General features: G+C 33.9%; 1 protein-coding gene across 6 annotated transcripts in view; it reads left to right on the top strand.

Moving 5' to 3' along the window:
- Positions 1-23,596, top strand: part of THSD7A (thrombospondin type 1 domain containing 7A) — a 461,834-nt gene that overhangs the window by 83,247 nt on the left and 354,991 nt on the right. The window lies entirely within an intron of this gene.

Here is a 23,596-nt window from a genome sequence, read left to right as displayed (position 1 = left end):
CTTCATTCCCGGTGTTCGCTGCAGCTATAAACTGCAAAAAATCTTATGATCAATAAATATATCACATTAACAAAGTATTATGATTTATTTTACTATAACAACGTGCGACTCCAAAGAGACTTTTTAAAATAATTTATAAGTTTGTATTGTTATTCGTATATCACTATTGCCCTATTTCATTTTATAAGAAAATATTTTTAAAAGTAAAAGATTTATATTTTAGTACCTTTAATAGCACGTCTTGGTTTCTGAAAAAGAAGTCCTGTGAATTATGAGGTTGACTCTGATGATAGTTTGTACATAGTTTGGAAGTTTATAGCTTTAATAATCTTGTACACCATTTATGTGACTTTTCATGATGTCTCTTGACTTTGTTCTGAGGGTATTTTAGGGGAAGGGTGAATAAGGTTTAAATTACCGAAATATTGAGAATATATACATGTATCTTTAAAATATTCCATTATTTAAATACTAACAATTTTTGTGACAAATACTTTTTAGACTGCTTTAATACTTTTCCCTAAGAAGAGTTTTCAAGAACAAACTTTGATAATCGGGGAATGGTTTTATCTCCAATCGCCTACTAATTATTTTCATGAGTAAGTTTGAGTCACCTTCTTTATTTACAACAAACCTCATCTCACTCTCCTGTTACCCAAGCTTTGCCCAAAGAGAAACCTGTTTGTTACTATTCAAATTTAATCATGTCAGTAACTCCATCATTTTTGCCTTCTGAAACAATTTTCCAAATGACCCACCCATCTCCATTCCTGTTGTGATACTCAGGCCCTCACACATTCTCTCCTGCAGTTGCATTGTATCTGGCCTCTTTGTCTTGACACTGTGCTGGGCTGCTCTTTAAAAATACAAGAAATATTATATAACTTCCCTATTTAGAATTCCTTAGTCTTTAGGTTAAAGTAGAAATTCATCAACGTGGCATAAACACTTTCTCTTCCTCACTGCTCTCTTCTCCTGCCTTCTTATCAGCAACCTGCATACACATTCTGTCATGCAAAAATTGTTTCCATTTCCCTGAAAGTGGCCTATTATGTTAATATCATTGTGCCTTTTTATACACTTTGATCTCTGCCAAGAATCTCTACTTGTCCATTGTCCTTTCGGTAAATGTACTCCTTAAGGCTCAAAGTAAATATTACTTCCTCTGAGACTTTATCCATGGCCTTCCAAAGAAATTAAACTCTCCAGGTTTTGAGCCACACAAACACCCCTTTTCCATCCCTACAGCAGCACATATGCACTGTCAATTTATTGTTGATTCAGCCATATGTCTTTCTATCCATGCTAGATAGTCATTTTTTTACAGGTAGAGACTGTCTTTTCTATATCCATTTATAAGCATCCAACACAGAGCTTGACGTGTACTGTACTAGACATAAAAGTTATGGTATAAAAGAATAAATGAATAAAACATTAGAAACTAAATTAAGAAAACTAAATTACATTCCAATAACAAGTATAATTAGTACCAACTTTAAAATTTGATTGAATTTTTCTGTATTTTGGTATTCTCAAATTCACTTTATTTTCAATTTAAACTCACTCAACGGAGAGGAATTTTAATTCGTAGAATTGTAAGTAAACTCACCTAGGCTTAGAGAAGCAGGCCAAGTGCACCTCTTTGTTCTCATCCATAGGGCTACTTCACAGGGCATCTTTGAAGGAAGAACCATGAATAAAAGTGATTGTAAGAAATGCTAAAGATACAAAGCATTATAAAAATATTTAACAGGTTTAATGTGACTTTCTCATTACAAATAATCATGTCTCCTAATAGTATTTAAATTCTCACTTTTAAGTGCAACCTCTTTTCATTAAAATATGAAAGCTAGTAATTTCCAAAGGTGAAAATACATGTCTTTTCTATTATAGAAAGCTAAAGAGGTCGGTAATTGATGAGACTATCAAAATAACTTTTATTCCATATTACTTTGTAATGTGGATATGCTCACATGTGAGTGAATGATATCCACTTCAGGGTAAAAGTCATGGGATAGTGGTTCTATTGTCAATATTATCTTTCAAAAAATGAGAGAAAGGACCAATCTTCCTTATAGAAGATTTAAAATAATCTTTTAGATACTCCTCCCCCTCCAGGAGGTACAGTTTAACGCACCCTCTAGAGTATAAACTGTATTTAATGACTCACTTCCAAATAAGGGAGTATGGAAAGAGGAAATAATAACTTTATAGTGGAATATCCTGGCAAATATTACCTCTACCAGATGATTAAGGTTAAGATCACTAGTAGTGTCATGTTAATCTAATATACTCTGTATATGGTGATGAGAAGACCACTCCATCTCTGGGGTACCTGTTCACAAAACCAGTAACCACAGGTTAATCATGAGAAAACATTAGACAAACCCAAATTGAGGAAAACTCTATGAAATATGTGACCAGTACTCCTCAAAACATGTCGAGGTCATGAAAAACAAGGAAAGTCTGAGAAACTGTCACAGTTTTTAGATTATCCTAAAGAAATATGACAACAAAATGCATTGGGGGATTCTGGATTAGATCCTGGAACAGAAAAAGGACATCAGTGGAAAAACTGGTGAAATCCAAATAAAATCTGGAATTCAGTTAATAGTAATATACCAGTGTTGGTTTCTTAGTTTTGCCAATTTCTTAGTTTTGCTAAAATGTTAACTTTAGGAAAAACGGTGTGAGGGCTATATGGGAACTCTGTATACAATCTTGGCAACTTTTCTGTAATTATTCCAAAATAAATGTTTAAATACAAAATATCAGGGCAAATGCAACAATTAAAAATTCCAAGAGAATATAGTCTTCAATTAATTAAAAGGTTGATTAAACCTGGTATCCAAACAAATGGAAGAACATTCCATGCTCATGGGTAGGAAGAATCAATATCATAAAAATGGCCATACTGCCCAAGGTAATTTATAGATTCAATGCCATCCCCATCAAGCTACCAATGACTTTCTTCACAGAATTGAAAAAAACTACTTTAAAGTTCATATGGAACCAAAAAAGAGCCTGCATTGCCAAGTCAATCCTAAGCCAAAAGAACAAAGCTGGAGGCATCATGCTGCCTGACTTCAAACTATACTAGAAGGCTACAGTAACCAAAACAGCATGGTACTGGTACCAAAACAGAGATATAGACCAATGGAACAGAACAGAGCCCTCAGAAATAATGCCACATATCTACAACTATCTGATCTTTGACAAACCTGAGAAAAACAAGCAATGGGGAAAGGATTCCCTATTTAATAAATGGTGCTGGGAAAACTGGCTGGCCATATGTAGAAAGCTGAAACTGGATCCCTTCCTTACACCTTGTACAAAAATTAATTCAAGATGGATTAAAGACTTAAATTTTAGACCTAAAACCATAAAAACCCTAGAAGAAAACCTAGGCAATACCATTCAGGAAATAGGCATGGGCAAGGACTTCATTTCTAAAACACAAAAAGCAAGGGCAACAAAAGCCAAAATTGACAAATGGGATATAAATAAACTAAAGAGCTTCTGCACAGCAAAAGAAAGTATCATCAGAGTGAACAAGCAACCTACAAAATGGGAAAAAAATTTTTGCAATCTACTCATCTGACTAAGGGCTAATATCCAGAATCCACAATGAACTCAAACAAATTTACAAGAAAAAAACAAACAACCCCATCAAAAAGTGGGCGAAGGACATGAACAGACATTTCTCAGAAGAAGACATTTATGCAGCCAAAAGACACATGAAAAAATGTTCATCATCACTGGCCATCAGAGAAATGCAAATCAAAACCACAATGAGATACCATCTCACACCAGTTAGAGTGGCGATTATTAAAAAGTCAGGAAACAACAGGTGCTGGAGAGGATGTGGAGAAATAGGAACACTTTTACACTGTTGGTGGGACTGTAAACTAGTTCAACCATTGTGGAAGTCAGTGTGGCGATTCCTCAGGGATCTAGAACTAGAAATACCATTTGACCCAGCCATCCCATTACTGGGTATATACCCAAAGGATTATAAAACATGCTGCTATAAAGACACATGCACATGTGTGCTTATTGTGGCACTACTCACAACAGCAAAGACTTGGAACCAAGCCAAATGTCCAAAAAATGATAGACTGGATTAAGAAAATGTGGCACATATACACCATGGAATACTATGCAGCCATAAAAAAGGATGAGTTCATGTCCTTTGTAGGGACATGGATGAAGCTGGAAACCATCATTCTCAGCAAACTATCACAAGGACCAAAACCAAACACCGCATGTTCTCACTCATAGGTGGGAATTGAACAATGAGAACACATGGACACAGGAATGGGAACATCACACACTGGGGCCTGTTGTGGGGTGGGGGGAGGGGGGAAGGATAGCATTAGGAGATATACCTAATGTTAAATGATGAGTTAATAGGTGCAGCACACCAACATGGCACATGTATACATATGTAACAAACCTGCACATTGTGCACATGTACCCTAAAACTTAACGTATAATAAAAAATAAAAAAATAAAAATAAAAAATAATAAAAAAACCTGGTATCATAAAAATTGATACAAGCACATGATAATCTACTTATTTTAAGTGAAAACAAATAAATCTGTTATTTCATCTTTTAATATAATGGTAAAGCTTTCTCTTGAAGTTTATTGCCACCACCCGATTTGGTACATCAGTCAGTATGTATCTCAGGAGAAATGTAGGGTTTGATTTTAATCCAACAAGTCAATGACATGAAGGTCAAAAAAGAGATCTCCTTCTAGACTGTCATTAGCAGAACAGTTTTGCATTGAAAACATTTACATGCAGGTATCCAACATGGTATGAAAAATCATAAAAGGCCTGTAGATTCATTTTGGGTTCCTTAAAAATCAGGGCATCTCTAGAAGGAAATAACATAAGAACCACGAAATTGCTATATGGCATCAGAAGACTGTCAGTCTAGTCTGTATTAAGTGTCTAACCACTGGTCTATATTTGAAGTGATGTTATTGGGAAGAACGTGGTAAGTGCTAATTAAAAGTTAGCAATATGCGCAAAGCCCACTTAATGTTCAAGTACATTGCTATGATTCATTACTTGGATCCAAAACTTTTTAAAAAGTCAAGACTCCTGTAATTCTTTATGAACAGCTGGAATATCACACAGAATAGGCAAAAGGGGCTTTCTTGATAATTTTCCTAAGTGCCTTTCAGACATTGATTTATCACCATAGCATAGAATTGGACAGACCTCTATTTACTAACACAACTTAGAGTATTGTCCTGGAGTTAATAAGTATGTGTTCACATCACTTTCCTCCACTCAGTCCCCATGTGACCTGGTGATAATTTGCCTCTAAAATGAAATGATAATATTTCCAAGAAGGATATATTAAAATGTACTAAGAAGGATATATTAAAATGAAGTAACTGAAAAGAAAATCTGAAACCAGAATGCGTAGTATTAGACTACAAAAAAGAGGGGAATATTTTTTCTTAATTATCAGATATTCTTCAAAGAAACATTGCTATCCATTGGCCTTATCCAAAAATTGATGGGATACCTAAGAAAAACATGTAAATTTGATGTCTCAGGTCAAGGTGAATATTCTCAGTGGACGATAAATTTATTTTCAATTGCTATACATTTCAGTTTTAAGACATAAGAAAACCCAGTACTGGTAAATGAGGTTTGATGTTACATTCTAAGGACCTCAACTATTTATTATTGAGCTGCCTTGTAAAGATAACAAAAGTCAATAACGCATTGCTAAGTATCTCATCTATTAGGGCCATAAAATAATTGTATGTGTTCGTAAATGTTAATGAGAAAGAATAGGTAAACAAATGTCACTGACTATAAATTAGAGTTTAGAAAGCCAATAATAAGTAGTATAGCATTTTAAATTATAAGATTCCTTAATCTTTATCCACTGAATGAACCTTGATGTAGTAGCAGATTTCTTCAATAAGGGAGAGGAGCCAGGGCTCTTGATGGCAGTGGTACACTTCTAACATTGATGGTAATATCATTGAATAATTATATTAGAAAGTAGCAGTTTGTATTGTAAACCTCAATGAACAGAACCATAATGCCACAAAAGACAGCCATTAATTAAGTATGAATTACTGTATTTTAAAGCACTGGCAGTGGAAAGGGAAATGCCACCTTTGAATGAATGGCTTCCTCTGTCTGATCTGACCTCCTCCCATTTAGAGATGTGAAGGTGATAAATCACTGAGTGCAGCAACAGCAGGGATCCTTATTAATAGCAACCTCCCAGTCTCTTGGCAATCACTGCAAGTGCAAGTGACATGCACAAAGGTTTTCCTTCTTAGCTGAAAGGACGTGAATTTTTTATGAGAATTTCTTAGAAATGGATATAGCATTTCTGAGTCATGCATCTGAGCACTTCATCAATTAGACAACATAAAGGTTCTTGGAACATGCTATTTCACCACATCCAGCTGTTATCATAATGATTTAGATTGAGGATTTTACATCTAGTAGCTATATTCTTAAAACAACAAAAAATCACTTTATTGTCAAGTTATTGTCCTCTAAATGGAAAGAAAATTGAGGCAATAGGCAAAGGGCGTATTTTTTGTTGTTGTTGTTTGTTTTTACTAATTGAATACTTGAAAGGGGAATTAAATTTTAAATGACTAGACAAAACCTGAATTTAATGATTTTCCTTTCTCTCACCCTAATTGTCACAATCAAAGACTGTTGAATATGATCATATATTTTTCCATTTATATCTGTTCTTATACTGCCTCTGAATATGACAACTTCCACTGAAAATCACAACCAGATGATAAGCAAGAAGTAGTAAGATTCAGCTTTGATTTTACAACACTTCTTTAGAATTCCTAAAATGAAAAGTTAAAGACTTTGCTTCAAGGAATAAAAGGAGTGTGAATTTAGGAAGCCTTTGTTTCAGTCCTAAATTAAGCCTTGTGTAACCTTGGACAAGTCAATTATCCTTGAGGATCAGTACCCACATCTATATAATAAAAGTGACCATGTCAGCACTACCTAATGTGAGGATGTTTTGTGAGGACCATATGAAACAGTGTATATACATGAGCTTTGGAAGCAGTTAAATGGTATACAAACTTAAGGTAGTTTTATAAATACTATTGCCTATGAAAGAGCAAAATTATGGATACAAATAGTTTGTGGATAATATGGGAATTTATTAACTATATTCTTTGTTTAGGTCATCAACATAGTTATTCAAAAATTGACTTATCTTACTTTATACTTTTCCCCTCCTAAAGTTTTAACCTTATAATTTAAAAATATTTATTACTTCTGATTTCTTTCAACCAAGGAGTGCTCACAGTTATAAATCTAATGAAAACAATGCTTAAGTTTCACTTGTCTAATATTCCCTGATATTTCATCTATTATAAAAATAATGCAACATTAGAGAATTTGACTAAAAAACCACTCGTGAGTTTATTTCCAACACTTATTTTTTCAGTGCATATATAGCATATATATTCCCACAAAATTAACCATAAATTATGTCTTAATACTTGACCAATGGAAGAAAGGGCAGAGTGCAGGAAGGATAATGAATAAATATGCACTTGGAATTTGGCATGGCATGAATCTTTTAGATTAAGAGAAATGTTTTCCCCTTTGGATCTCTTAAACGGAGTAAATTTCCTGCCAGAGGTTATTGAAAACAGTTTTTTCCTGAGTCAAAACCACAAAGCAAAGTACTCTAATATAGTGAAAACATTTTTTACCTTCGGGAGGAAAAGCTATGACATGTTTAAACACCTGGCAGAGTACCTAGGATACAATGTGTAATTATTAGTGTATTAGTGTAATTATTAAGAGTTCCCCCTTACACTTTTCCAGTTTGGACAATTAATTATATCATCGATTAACAGGTACCTAGCAAAATATTGGCATTCTCTTCAGTGTCTCAGTTTGAAAAATAATTTATATGATCACCATTTAATACATAAAAGACCTTTTCTTCTACCGAGGTGTATTTTTCACATAAACAGCGTTATGTAATTCACATGTTCAGTAATTCAGCAAATACTGCAAATATTTATGTAGTGCTTACTATGTTCCAGGACTAATATGCTATGGAACAAGACAAGTAAATTTCCAGAAGTGATGTAGTTTGTGTTCTAGGGAGAGAAGCAGATGCTGAAGGAAACAAATGCACACACAATATACTTTCTGGTACTGACATATTATAGCATAATCTAAAGACAGGTAATGGAAAATAAAATGTTTGGGAGAAGGTATATAAACACTGAACAGGGAGAGCATTTCTCAAAAGGTGACTTTTGAGAAAAGACCAGAATGACCCAAGGGAGGCATGCTAAGATTTAAGTATGTTAGGTCAGGCTATATCCAGGAAGGGGAACACCTGTGTCCAGCTGCTGAGGGGGAAAAGAAGCTCAGCATGTTTGGGAAACAGCAAAAAGACCACCACAGCTGGAGAATATTAAGCAAAAAGGAGATGTAGCTGAAGAATCTGGTGTCAAGGTAGAGATCCGAATTGTGTTACAGATGTAAGGGAGCTATTGGAGATTGACACAATCTTCATTTAGCTTCCACAATGATCACTGTGCAATGTAGATAGAGGAGTGCAGGGAGGTGTATACAATTTCTCTCATGTACCTCGTCAGATATGCTCAGCTGTCCCCGTCTCTGGGATCATTGACCACTCATTTTGTCCCGGCCATCATGGCTTCCAAATTAATGTGGGTATAGCCCAGCATTGCCTTCCTCTTGCCTGTGCCTTATGACTGTCCTAGGACTACCTTGAAGCCACTGAGGAGTGAGACGTGTGGGATCTTACTAGTGTCCCTGTAAGCATAATCTGGAGTTGTAGGAGAGTTATGTGTCCAAGTTGAATCTTTGATCATTAGAAGGGAGCCAGTGAATAAAAGTTTCTTCCTCCCTCATGACAGACTGTCAGGAGATGGTGGAGTTCTTGTGGTCTCTTAAAATGTCACCTTAGAAGAATAAGCAATCCATTGTTTTGATACCAAGCTAGCACGTTAACACACCCTCTTATTAGCTCTTCCACCTTCTCTGCCTCACCTACCTTTTCCCTTATTCCTGCATCCTTGGCATTGCACTTCTGATACAAGAGAAGCACATAAGCTTTGGTCCTACCTCTGCTTTCTGGGGAAAGCAGGGTACGACAGGTGTAAGAAGAAAAGTAGAAACACCAGTTAGGAAGTTGACCAGGCAAGAGATGATGATGAGGCTGGGTGCTGTGGTTCATGCCTATCTATAATCTCATCACTTTGGGGGCCAGGGTGAGAGGATTGCTTGAGACCAGGAGTTCAAGACAAGCCTGGGAACATAGTGAGACCCTCTTTCTATAAAAAAAAATACAAATTTAAAAAAAAATTTTAAAGAAAGAGATGATGATGTTTTAGAATGTAATGGCTGATAGTGAATGGTACTCATCTGGCTATCAATAATTAATTTAAATATATTCTTTCTCCATTTCCACTTTCTTCATCCCTATATTACATGCATATTTTAGCCTGTAAGACAGAAATGCTCTCATAAATAGTTTTCTTTATTTTAGTCTATTCCCACTTTTTAAAATACTTATAAGTGTTATTCCATGCATAGAAGTGTTTAAGGACCTTCAAGTTAACACTGTCTTAAATTTTAATTCCATTGTCTATATTTCAAGGCTCTTATTCACTGGCCTTATTAAAGCTATCTAAATTTATGTCATGTTTCTTAAAACATTATAATTTCCTTGCTTCTTAAAGTATGTTCTTATCCCTAGGATTTCACTTTTCCTTATGCTATTACTTTCTCCATAGTCAAATTATGTATGTCTTTCAAGGTTTGTTTTCTTCATGAAGAGTATAACATTTGTTACTTGGGCCACCGAATAAAAATAATTACACTAATGAGGCCAACACTGATCTACATGCTTCACATTTATGATTCCTCTAAACGTCACTATGATGCATCCATTAGTATTGTATTAGTTTCCCATGCTGCTGTAACAAATTAACATGAATTTAGTGGCTTAAAAGAACCCAAATGTGGTATCTTACAGCTTTGGAGGTCAGAAGTCTGAAGTGGGTCTCACTGTGTAACAATCAAGGTAATGGCAGGACTTTGGTTACTCTTAAAGCTCTGGAGGAAAAGACATTTTCTTACCTTTTCTAGCATCCAGAGGCCACCTACATACCTTGTTTAGTGGCCTTTTCTTCCATCTTCAAGGCCAGTGGCATAGCATCTTCAAATCTCCCTGTCTGACCTCTTCTGCCCCTTCCAGTTTAAATGAACTTTGTGATCACAGATCATAGGGATTGCGGGGAGGAGACATTATTCTGCCTACCACAAGTTTCACCAGTTTAGAGCGAGGACTCTGAGGCACAAAGAATTTAAGAAACTTAACTTTAAGCTAGTAAGTGGAGAATTCCAAAACTTAACATGGTTAACAACTACATCATACTGCCACTTCAAAAGAAGAGTAAAGTATTGCTAGCACTATCTTACCTATATTCTTTTGATTCATATTGGGTTAACCAGTGTTTGCTGAGATGCTATTGTGTTACATATATCGTAAAATAATACTCTAAGAACTATTATGAATAAAAGTTGAGCCTCCAAAATCAGAAAACACTGAAATCTGAAACGCTTGAAGAAACAAAACTTATTGAGCACCAACATTATGCTCAAAGGAAATACTGACTGGAGCATTTTAGATTTTGGATTTTCAGATTTGGGATGCTCAATCAATATAGTGCCAATATTCCAAAATCCAAAATCTGAAACACTTCTTATCCCAAGCATTTTGTATAAGGGATGCTCAGTCTGTGTAATGATTAAGTGAACATAGATCTAGCACTCAATAAACTTAGATTCCAACAGAAAAGATAAACCATATCAAATTAAACTATTAGATAGATAGATATAGATATATAAATACCATAAATGAAATACATTAAGTGATGTAAGCATCTAGAATAATGAGAGAGTCATGCAGTTTACCATTTTCCCAACTCCACTGAGGTTCCTTGATGAGTCATGGCTTATATTTATTTGTTCATTTATGACTAAATAGTGATACTCACTGATCATACTGGCTGCCCTAATTAGTACAATATTTTTGAAAATTATCATTTTCTACTCTATAGAACTTGAATTGTTTGGAGTCACCCTCTGCTCTTAGATCTGTGGGTATCTTTTGAAATATCTTTCATTTTTAAACTTGTTTTAATTTATACATAGAAAATGATGAAACTATAATATATAGCCCCAAAATTTCTAGAACTTGCTCATTGGAGAATATGACAAATATGACACAAAGTTATGGCCTATGAAAGTTTGGATCCCTGTCCTTAGTTTATGACTTGTTTGCTACTGTTTCAGGTTTCCCTGAGCACCTGAACATAAAATGGCACCTTTGCACAGAGTTTCTGTAAAATATCTACTGATTCCAGGAACTGCGTGAGTGTAGTAAATTTAGTTCTAGGACGGGGCACAGGCATGGCATCAGAATGGTCTTGCATAGTCCTCTGTCTTCTTCCTTACTCCATCCATTCTGCCTGGTGACCTTTCACACATCAAGCCTGGCTAAGAGCCTCACCGTGCCCTATGCTGATGTTAAGCCCAAAAGAAGTGTCACCAGTTTCATCCCTCACCACCACCACACATAAAACAGCTTCTGTCTTCAGAAGCAGCCAGTTCTCTCAGTCTGATCTGACCTTCCCAGTCCTCTTGTATTCAGGTGTATAAAATGTTCTCCTCCTTATGTCAGCAAAATGAAATAAATACTAAAGTGCTGTATTCATTTGTTCTCATGCTGCTAATAATGACATACCCAAGACTGAGTAATTTATAAGGGAAAGGAGTTTAATTGACTCACAGTTTCACATGGTTGGGGAGGCCTCAGGAAACTTACAATCATGGCAGAAGGGAAAGCAAACATGTCCTTCTTCACGTGGCAGCAGAAGAGAGAAGAATGAGAGCCCAGAGAAGGAGGAAGTCTTTTATAAAAAATCATATCTCGTGAGAATTTACTCATTTTCACAAGAATAGGATGGGGGAAACTGCCCCCATGATTCAATTATCTCCCACCAGATCCTTCCTATGACAGGTGGGGATTGTGGGAACTGCAATTTAAGATGAGATTTGGGTGGGGCCATGGTCAAACCATATCAAGTACTTTCAAAGAGTCAGTTTTTCACTTTCTTTGAAAGCCAGAATGTGTTTTTCTTCATCATTTGGGACTTCTAAGTTTTCCACTTATATACAGGAGGATACAAGGGTATGCTTAGCCCTTTATTTTACATTTCAACATAAATGATGGTTTTCCTTATGATTTGGGTACAGAAAAGATAAAAACATTATTCAGAACTTTCTTATTATAGCCTTACAATAGCTTTAAATAGTCCTATAAATAAAAGCCTAATTGAGTTCTATATTTAACATGTTTACCTGTCTTGAAAATATTATTTATTTTACACACACACACACACACACACACACACACAGAGTCTGCTGTGTCACCCAGGCTGGAGTGCAGTGGCACCACCATGGCTCACTGTAGCCTCAAACTCCTGATCTCAAGTGATCCACCTGCCTCAGCCTCCTGAGTAGCTGGGACTACCATGTGTGAGTCACCATGCCTGGCCATCAAATATATTAAATATTACTAAATAGAAAATATTTGCTCTTACTCCTATCATGTGGACCTAGTTTATTTTTATAGCTAATTATTATTTTTCGAAATATCATAGATACTTCTATAAATTTAGCCAAATAAGCTTTATTTTCTCTCTCTACATATGCATCTTTAGAAAAATATTCACTTAATATCTATAAACACTGTATTTTGTGGTTCTTTGCCTTGATATTAATATGAAAATCTAGTATACATTAGGAATATTAGAAATGCATTGTTGAACTTTTAGAACTATGTAAGTATTTAATATGTGGGTATCTAAAACAACATATTTAAATATGTTTAATATAACACTAGAAGTAAATACACTGCCATTTAAGTACAGTACATCCAGTAGTATTGATTTCATTTTTCTGGTCATATATTTTTCACATAATGAAGAATATTTTCATGTGTATGTCAATTTTCCATGTCTACTAAGTATGTCAATTTATATTATAATAAAGCATTCCTCATAATGTTTTCCCATAAATCAAACTTGCCATTATCTACCCAATTATGAATGCTAACAATTTTAGCATTATATTAGACTGTTTCAACTTTTGTTTCTTACACATTTAGATGAAACAGAAAGTAGTTTTGAGGCTCTAGTTCATAAAACTTGTGCTTGAGAGGATACCACAAGTTGTGTATATTTTATCCAAAATATTTATCACCAGAAATGTTTTGAATTTCAGATTTTTTCAGATTTTGAAATACATATACATAATGAGATTTCTTGGGGAATAGTATCAAGTCTAAACATAAAAATTATTTATGTTTCATATACACCTTACACACATAGCCTGAAGGTAATTTTATGCAAGATTTCAAATAATTTTGTGCATGAAGCAAAGTTTGTTTAAGTGCTTATGTATGGAATTTTCTACTTGTGGCATCATGTTGGCACTCAAAAAGTTTTCTATTTCGGAGCATTTCAGATTTTGGATTTTTTGTATTAGGGATGCTCAACCTGTAATTATATTGTTCCCTCCTCTCTTTAATATACGGGTAAAATGTTATATTACTATAACACCATAGAACACCAAAAATACCACCAACTAATATATTCTTAAGTGCCAAATAAGTGACAAAGTGTTGTGACTATAGAAGAGAAGAAAAATCCTGCCCAGGATGATTTGGTGACACTCCAAGAGTACTAAGAATTTGAGCTGGAACTATATGTGATATAATCAACTAGAAGTTAGAAGGCATTTCAGAAACGGAATTTGAACATGTAAGAAGACTTATTTGAAGAAGCAGAGGGTTCTTACAGAAAAATGTTACAACTTATATAGGTGGGCAAGTCCCATAAGTACAGTCTTCAGTAAAAATAATATAATCAAATCTGGTCCTCTAAGCAATAAATTCGTTGACCAAAATAAAATCCTAAAAAATGACTATAAAATCATCTGGAAAATGCATTGTTGAAAAAATGGGTTTATTCAATTACTTTCTCCCTTTTTCTGAGCTTTCATACTTTTCAGGAAATATGGTGAAGCACTGTGTTATGCCTTGTATGAAATGAAAAGTTGAAATCCCTGAATATGGGGAAAAAAATTTTCTTTAGGATGTTTACATTCTGAATAAGAAAATAATGTTTATACAAATAATAGTAGCAAAATAAGGTCATTAACAATGTTCTAAGACAGAAAACAAAAGAATACTACAGGTGTTTGAGAGAGCGAGATACGACATGTCAGGTTGGAAAATAGCAAAGAATTAATTATGGAGGTGCTAATTTTATTGGATAGTTAAAAATTATCAAGAAAACGTAAGGCAGATATTTTGGAGGAGTGATATGGAAAAAGATTGACCACGTATGTGAGACATTGGTTCTTATTTTTCTGGAGTGTAGAGGATGAAAAGCCTTTAAATTAAATAGTTTGAATTGAGGTTATGGACATATTTAATTTTGTACCAGTAATTTGCACTTTATTTTTAAGGTAATAGAGATCCAGGAAATTTTTGTTCCAATGATTAGAGGTTGTGCAACGGGAATAATTCACCTGCCTGTGGTGTGTGCATGGTTTGGGGCGAGGCAAAATTTTAAGTTAGAGGCCATTAAAAGAGAGCAACAATTAAGTAATGTTTTAACTACAGAAATAACACTAGAAAGAAAGCTATTTTCTCAAAACATTTTATAGTTGAATTTCCTTGGATTTGGGGGCTAATTGGACATGACATCTAATCAACAGGAAGGGGTTGAAGAGATGACTCAAGGGAGTCTCCAAGGGAGAGATCCTAGAAAGAGGTTAGAAGGGAAGACAAAGAATAGAGCCCCTAGAAATATGCCTTTAAGAAGGTGAAAAGGAAAAGGGTCTGTGAAGGGAAATATAACAAAAGAAGGAAGGTAATATAGTAGCCAGACATAGGAGTGTAGAGGGAGAGAAGGTTGCAATCCATAGTGTCATTAACAATGTATAAATTTTTTCTAAATATGAACTGAAAAATATCTTTGTATATCAACTAGATCATGAGCAGTGTTACTATGAGAAGAAACCACACTGCTTGAGATGTTTGTGACCTTAATTTCGGCCTTCTATGGAGCTATCTATTCTTAATTGTTCTTATTCAGATCCCACATTTTTGTCAACATTGTGGAGCTCTCAGCACTGATTTAGTAAAGGACCCAATGCTTCAGATCTTCACTTCCTGCCTTCTGTGTAGACGCTGCCTCTTGTCTACCACAGGGTGCATTTTTCTACACAGTCACAGTCATTATATCAGCCAGATCAATCCCATTGCCACTTTTCTCTACCTCAAAACACCTAAATGGAAGATATAAAGGATCAGATAAAGTTATCCAAAACTCTTGAAATTCCATTATTTTTGAACCCATATATCTTATCTTTTTTCACACACCTTATGCATAGATATTTTCTGGATTTTTAACATTAAATGTCATTTAAGAACCCCCAACATCAACATAATGATGTATTGACCACTGTATATAAATCAAGATGTAATTTCTATCAAATGAAAATTCATGGGGATAACAACAGGGCTGTTACTGACATAATATAAAGTGGAATAGCTTACACTTACAGTCCATGAGTATGTAAGACTCATTCCTGTCATTCAGTTGCTTCAATAGGAAACACCAATTCACTGATTGATTTTTATTACAGGACAGGACCCAGCAGAGGAAAGAAATCACTGTATTGTTGAAAACATGAGATGGGGTTGACTTGTTAGTTGGTGACTAAATAATAGAAATATCTCCAGAGGCTGTCAATATATTCTCATACTAGTATGTTAGTTACATTTCCTGGTAACATTACCAAATACTGCTTAGATATTTATGTTCCATAAACTATGTTTATGAAAAGTTTATTATGGTATATGGCAGTTCAATGCTAATAAGTGGTACAGGGTCATCCCAATGCACATATTTCTTTGAAATTGCATTGTTTGAAAGCATTTTTAAAAGAATCTGTATGAGGAATACAGGTTACAAACTTTGAAAATGAATCATCTAAAGAAATAAGCTTTCAGCCATGGTTCATATGCCCTAACCTCTATTTGATAATCTTACAAAGGCTGCTGCCACAACCCTTACATCTACTTTCAAAGCTGTAAAGATAATTAACTCTGGATAAGATAGAGTTGAAAACAAATTTGCTATTGTGGTGGTGGTGGTGGAAGTGGTGGTTTTATAAATAATTGAAAACTCTTCACTGTATATGTAAATGTTTTATTTTGTGTTTTATACATAAACTATATAATACCGGCACAGTGTAAAATACAATTCATTCTAAAACGTGCTGGAATATTTTGAAAGTAAAAGGACACTGATATACAAGCTTGGAAGAGTAATCCCTTTGGGGTTAAGCCTATGAATAAGAATTATTTTCATGTTTAACATGATTTCACTCACTTTGCACTATGCGTCCGGCAGTATGCCACATGGCTGACTGAACTTGGTTTTCATCATTGTATTTTACATTTCTGAATTGCAGTTCATCTATTTACATTTTAAGATTAGGCATTTTCATACTTGAAGTAATGCATGGTAAATTTTTCAAAATCTCACTCCAGTAGGATAACCAAAGGGTGTTGTGTGGATCTTCTATTAAAATAAAAATACGTGTTCATTTTTCAAAAGAACAAACATGTACTCATGCATCTGATGCTCAATAAACAGCATTATCTCTTTTTTCAGCTAATATTATATCTACACAGTAAGGAACTTTTTTAGAGAAACATTTTTTTAAATCCTTAAGTAATAAGTAGCATTGTTCTTAATATATACATAAATGTGTGAATATTCATTTATTAATTTTGCTAAAATGCCTGGAACACATAGCAACATGTCATAAACACTAGTGTACTAAGGATTCTGATGCTAAAATAAGCTGGACTTGGGGTTCTGTAATTTTGATAACAATTAAAATCAGCAGATATACAATGATTTTAAATAACGTTTCTAAAGCAGAGGGATGGAATGCCATGTCTCATAATTCTTCTTTTATCAACAAGATTTCTCTGTTCCCACAAACACAAATTAGATTCTTTTGCAAAGGCTGTGTGAGATTTAGTCTATACCTTGATTTCCTCCATCATTTCAACTACAGTATGTTTCTGATTTATAGGTGCATTGATTGCTGCCTGGCTTATTGCTTGCATTATTTATTTAGATCAGGCAATTAGAACCTATTCAAACTCCACACATGATATAAAATACACTGCAGGATAAAACAGTAAAAAATTGTCTTGAGATATTGGAAATAAGATCAATTTTTGAACTCAAGCAATTGACGTTAACAATCTACCATAAATATGTAACTTCTATTAGTAACTCTGAGACATTATGGAAGTAGTTAAAGCCCTTAATTTTATGACTTATAAATAAGCATATCTATTATATTTACTTGACAAATCTCTTCCAAGTTAATAAGACCTTATTAAGAAGAATCTATTTTCTGTCAACAGCATGGTAGGTACTTTTGGGAATGCACAATAATCAGGGGAGTTACCTACATTCAAGGAAGTTGAAACCTCATAGAGAAAAAGCTTATGATTATGAAAGTTAAGAAAATAAAGAGTAAAATAATCAATGTCTGTAATAGGGCAACAGTAAAATATGACACTATATAGCATAAGGAAATAAGGGATTTACTGTCAAATTATCAATATAGGGAATAAATACTATAGGATTTAAGGAAAGGAAATAAGTTCAGTATATTGAAAAGAGACAAAATTAAATATAAACTGTCTTAAAGGAAATAAACAATTTATATATGCAGAGAGGCCAAGAAAAAACATTTTTTAAGGATGAAATAGAGCAAACTGCAAAATAAGACTATGTATGGTATATGTTGAGGAAGCTGCAGTAGAGTAGCTAACTGAAATTGAAAGTTGTCATAGCGGACAGAAAGAGATATGAATAAAAAGGTCAACTGCCATCACCTTGTTGAGGACAAATTGGTGGGTTACAAGATAAATCTGAGGAACAATCAGTGGATTAAGTGAATCTCAGGAGACAGAAAAGAAAATATAAAGGGGATATTCAACAGAAAATAGTGCTCAAAAATGGGTGACTCCTAGAAGGCTGCCGGTGATGAATAGAGCATTGATTCAATGATAAAAGAACTGAACATGAGTTATGGCTGCCAATCAGTATACAGGTGGATAACTATTTACTTAGCTAAAATGTTTGGGTGAAGAGAGTAAGATGCAGAAGAAAACAGTTCGTATTCATATTTTCAACCAAAGATAAAGCAATGAGAAAATAAAAACATAATGATAGTCAAACACTAATTTTAGAATATTTGTATCACAATTAAATTTATTATAATACATTACGTAAATAACGCTTTAACTGTATTTTAAAACATGAACTTTTATAAGACAATAATATAAATATAAATTAAAAAGAAAAAAGGAAGATTGTGAAGTTCAGAGTGCATTCAGTATTCCCCAGGAACTCCATTTATTTTTCTTTGCTTTATAGAAGAGAAATACAAAAATGTAAATTACAAGAATATTACTCGATTTTGTTAATCATTAATTTAAATATCAATTATGATTTCTAAAAATATGCTTCATTTTTAAATTTTAATTCTGATTAAACATTTTGTAATACAATATTTCAAAGTTCTGGTTCTGAGTTCAGTTAAATTTTGGTGCAAGCTGTCTTGTGTGCAAAATAATTTCACAACAAAACAGGTAAATCTAAATGGAAAAAGTTTCTCATTCTCCATTCTTGTTAAATCGTTACAGTCATTTCAGATTCACTCACCAATTGTAGAAAGTGATGTTGTTGATGTTGAAAATTTCAGCATTTCCTAAGCTAGTTATGTTTTATCTTTGCTAAGGTCAATCAGTTATTTGGCAAAAGGACTGGAAGACTTTTTTTTCTGAACTTTAAGCAAATGCATCTAAAACCTACTAAACTTTATCTAAAATATTTTTAAACAAGTGAAAAAATTTTGTTTCCAAACATAAGTGTACATGGTATCCATGGGTACTTCAGTTGCTTAAAAATATTGCCTTGGAAAAACAGATTAACTGTGTTTCCAGTATTTCCGTATCACCTGCTAAGTAACATTCTATTAGAAGGCCATGAATGGATTTCTTTCCTTATAAAAGGCAACAGTTCAATCTTTAGATCTTTAAATCTGCTACCTTTAAATCTGCTTCTTTTAAGTTATTTACATGAGAAAACCAACAAAACAACCTGTAGTATAAATGATGCTTGTGTTCACTGCCACTATTATTACAGAGTATAATTAAGAATTTAGTATAGATCGTGTTTTTTGTTTGCTTGCTTGTTTATTTTTAAATATTTCTAAAATAGCCTGTAGCAGTTGGGGCCTTTCTTGCTTCAGTTTCTCTCCTGCATTTATTGTCCAGGAATACAATGAGTGAATGTTATTTGCGGTGCTGTGTATCGGTAACCTTACTCCAGAATCTACTTCATCAGTGGCTACACTAACAGTAATTTTTTCACCACAAAACACCACTTTTGTTAAGTGTCATACACGATTAAGGACATAACTTCCTCCACACATCTTTTTACTAGCTCAAATGATGTTTTTCATAAGCTAAAACAATATAAATGTTTGTTTTTGCATCCCACAATGAACAACCTTCCCAAATTATATAATTTGATATGCTGGTTCTTCTGTCTCTTCAGCAACGTTGTCTGTGTAACTTCCTCCACATAAAGTTTACTCACAAATCTATTTAAGTTTTTATGATAGTGTTGTCTAGATATCATTTCAGTCATTTTTTTTGACCAGGGCAGAAGAAATGTTTCTTTAATGATATGGTTTCATCTTTTATTTATTTCATTTTTAAGGTAGAAATTAGAAAATATACTTCAAAATATTATTTACTTTAGGAAATTTCTGTAAAGTGATAAGTGATGGTTTATTATGCTGTTTAATATTATTAGAAAAGTGGAAGCAATTGGTCTTTACTAATAAAATTTTTAGTTTTAAACTGTCTTGCTCACTGAGAAGCCTGAAACTATTAGAAAATAAACACATTACATGTTACTAATATTTAGTATACAAGTTGATACTGGCAGCCTCTCTCAGTCTACTTGGTATATATAATATTTTCAGGGAATATTAGGATTTGATCAATGCAAACCTCAAAGTACAAAATGCATTTATATAGTAATAGTTGATGCAAATCATAATTCAAATAATATTCTCTAATTTAATTTTTTATCAATTTCTCATTAGCTATGGCTAGATTGTCATTGTCTTCTACCCCATAATATGGCATAAAGAGAGTTTTTACCAGGAAAAAATGAATCAGCTTTGTCAGTTTCTTGTTCATTTGAGTTTGCACACTTTGTGCAGCCTTCAATTCATGTTTTCTATATACTTTTCAAGTCATATATTTGTTTGGGAAAAATTGGCTTGTGCCACTCTAGATTATATACTCCTGCCTTCTCTTTATCAATGTATAGGAAAACTCCAATACATTAAACTCCAGTATATGAAAAGGTTGAGCATGGCTTTGCATTGGTTAATCTTGACCTGCCTACAGAATAGTATATATACCAAATGAACTGAGTGAGATTTCCACTATCAATTGTTGCACTAAAAATTAATACTGCTTAATGTAGTTCTTATTTTCTAGATAAAAATATATGAGCAAAAATTGATGTGCACATGAAACAGCTGGAAAACATTTTGCAGATTCTGATGCAACAGGCCTAGGTTAAAACTTGAGAGCTTGCATTTTACAAGCTACCAGATGATTCTGAGACTGCTGGTCCCTTGACCATACTTGGAGTAACAAGTTCTTACAACACTTCAGAACTTCTTACAAACACCTTAGGAAGCTTGCTTTCAGTTTGAAGACAGCTGTAGACATGGAGTGTCATTTAAAAGTTTTCTAAAAGACAAAATAAACATCAAGTTTATTTTAAGGACCAAAGAATGAGATACCGATAACTAAGCTCTTACAGTAATGAGGTAAAGAGGGTTAGACTGTTAATGGAAATAAAAAGCAATGGGTGTATCCTCAGAGAAATATTAATCTTATTATGAATAAACAATTCGTATTGATACGGGAATACCTATAATTATTGTTTTGAGATGTTTCTCTGTCATTTATTTAAAATATTAGAAATATCAAATGTACTTTTAAGTATATTTTCTTGAACAATTTTATGTTTTTCACTTTCTTGAAACAGGAAACTCTTATATAGTATTTCACATCTACTCATTGTCCAAAGTTGGTAAGAGTTTTTATCAATTATTTTAACATTTTGGGCCCCAAATGAATTTTGAGAAAGAGTAGTAAATGAATGTCTATCTTATAATAAGTATTTCTATAGGTGATTTATTTATTAACTTATTCCCCACTGGATCATTGTTTTGAACTCTTCCTTCTCCTATTATGAGTGTTATCATTTTGTGATTTCAAACTCTTTGTAGGGTAAAAGGGATCAAGAAGGGGGATTGCTGTTATTAGAATGAAAAGTAAAATGGCCTAGAAAAGAACAAGAGAGCAAACAAGAGGAGGAAAGGCATAGAGATGCTGGGAAAGGAATGAATGAGAGGTTTAAGAGAGTCAAAATTGAATACCTGGTGATACTGGCAAGAATCTCAAAGGCCCAACATTTGCAAATATGTATGCCCTGCCTGCTTCATTCCTGGTAAAATAAGAATATTCTTCTCCGTGACAGCCTACATTTTCACTGGAAAGACAATACTTATAATGTAAAATAATATCAGCACCAGGGGTGTAAGATTAAATGCAAAAGTAATTTGGATGCCTGTGAAGTGAGCCTGGGAACTCTTGCTGCCTGTTCGTGGTGCATGTATCACGTCGCTCTTGTCAGAGCTCCAGCAGCCTTGCCTAGAGCTGTGTGCCAAACCTCTGGTTTTCATTACGAGAGAGACTGGGCCAGGACCTGAGGAATTATTCTTAGATGACTGAAAGGGTAATCTAGAAAACATGAGACCCACTAGGGATGCGGTATTTATGTTTTATGATTCCCAAGTCAGTGCTATTTTCTTCAGACTACTGAAGACGATGTAAGTGGGAAACAGTTAATTTCAGCACTACTCATACCCTGCTCAGGATTCACATGGTATTTGCAGATAAAACAGCCAATGTGGAAAAAATGTCGGCCCAAATTGCATTTCTCCTTGATTCAGGTATTCCACGGGGGAGTCACAATCCATTTAGAATATCAGCACAATCATTGTCCACCTCAATCAAGTTAATGCAAAAGGGGAAAGGGAACCATTAGGGTGCAAAAAAAATCAATTCTGGGCATCTGTCTGCATGCAGACCTCAGGCCAAAACAGACTGAGTACCAAAAAGTGGGCAAAAGGGAAATCCCGGATTTCATTGTGCAATTTTTTGATGGTGCTCATGTTAGCTGACTAATGAACCTTTCATTATGAATCAGTGTGTTTTACAGCTGCACCTAATCATTGTTTCTGCGACTTAAAATGATGATGTGTGGTAGAAGGTGTAGATGAGGTGAGGCGTGATGGATTGTCATTGTCAAATTATTAATAGAAAGGTTCATTTTCTATTAGAAATATAAAGTAAAATATTTTATTCAGAGCTCCCTTTTCAACTCTGGTTCCAGCTGCCAAAATCGACTGTATCATTCAGTGCTGCATAACTTTGCCAAAATGTGTAGGATATTTGGCAGTGCATACATCAAACTCCTTTTAAATTTAGCTTTTATGGAAACTATTTTACATCATCTTGTTTCTCTATAAAGCAAAAGTAAATTATTTTTTAAATAGTTAAAATGTGATAAAACTGTTTGATAACACAATGAAAGAACAATTCAAATTAGTGAGCTTTGTTTCTTGTAATATTAATTCATAAGATTCATTTTCCAAGTTATTTTCAATATATTTGTAATAGAGGCATACTGTAAAATTTTATGTTGCAACAATATTAGTTATTATTATCCCAATTTTATAGATTAAAAACAGATCCACTGAGAATAAATAATTCCCTTTAGGAGTCCCAGTAAAGAAACACTGAATCTACAGTTTGGTTCAGGGAAAGCTAGAGATCTGCACCCACATTTACACAACTGCGTATGTTTAAATCAATACAATATATACAAGCATCTCTATTTCATGGCCATGTATAAACATGGAAGATACCATTAACATCTTAACATATACCAATATAAGTCTATTTAAAATACATGACAGTTTATTTTAAAAACTAATTAACCAAATAAAGATCCATCATAAAAGTTGCAAATCATTTTCTGTTTTTATATGGTCCTATTGACATTTCGCTTTTTCATCTGGATCTACGTTAATGGCAAATTACTTTATAGCGTGAGAAAGCAGTGAATCTTAGCAGATTCACTACCATTCAAAGCCAAACAAGATAGGTATGTCTTTTATAACCCTAACAACAAAAAGATTCCAGAAAACTATTTCTGAAAATGTGTGGTACGGGTCTTCACCATAGGA

The sequence above is a fragment of the Homo sapiens genome, chromosome 7, assembly GCF_000001405.40.
Source record: "Homo sapiens chromosome 7, GRCh38.p14 Primary Assembly".
In the NCBI taxonomy this organism is placed as follows: domain Eukaryota; kingdom Metazoa; phylum Chordata; class Mammalia; order Primates; family Hominidae; genus Homo; species Homo sapiens.
This window is presented reverse-complemented; position numbering and strand designations above follow the sequence as displayed.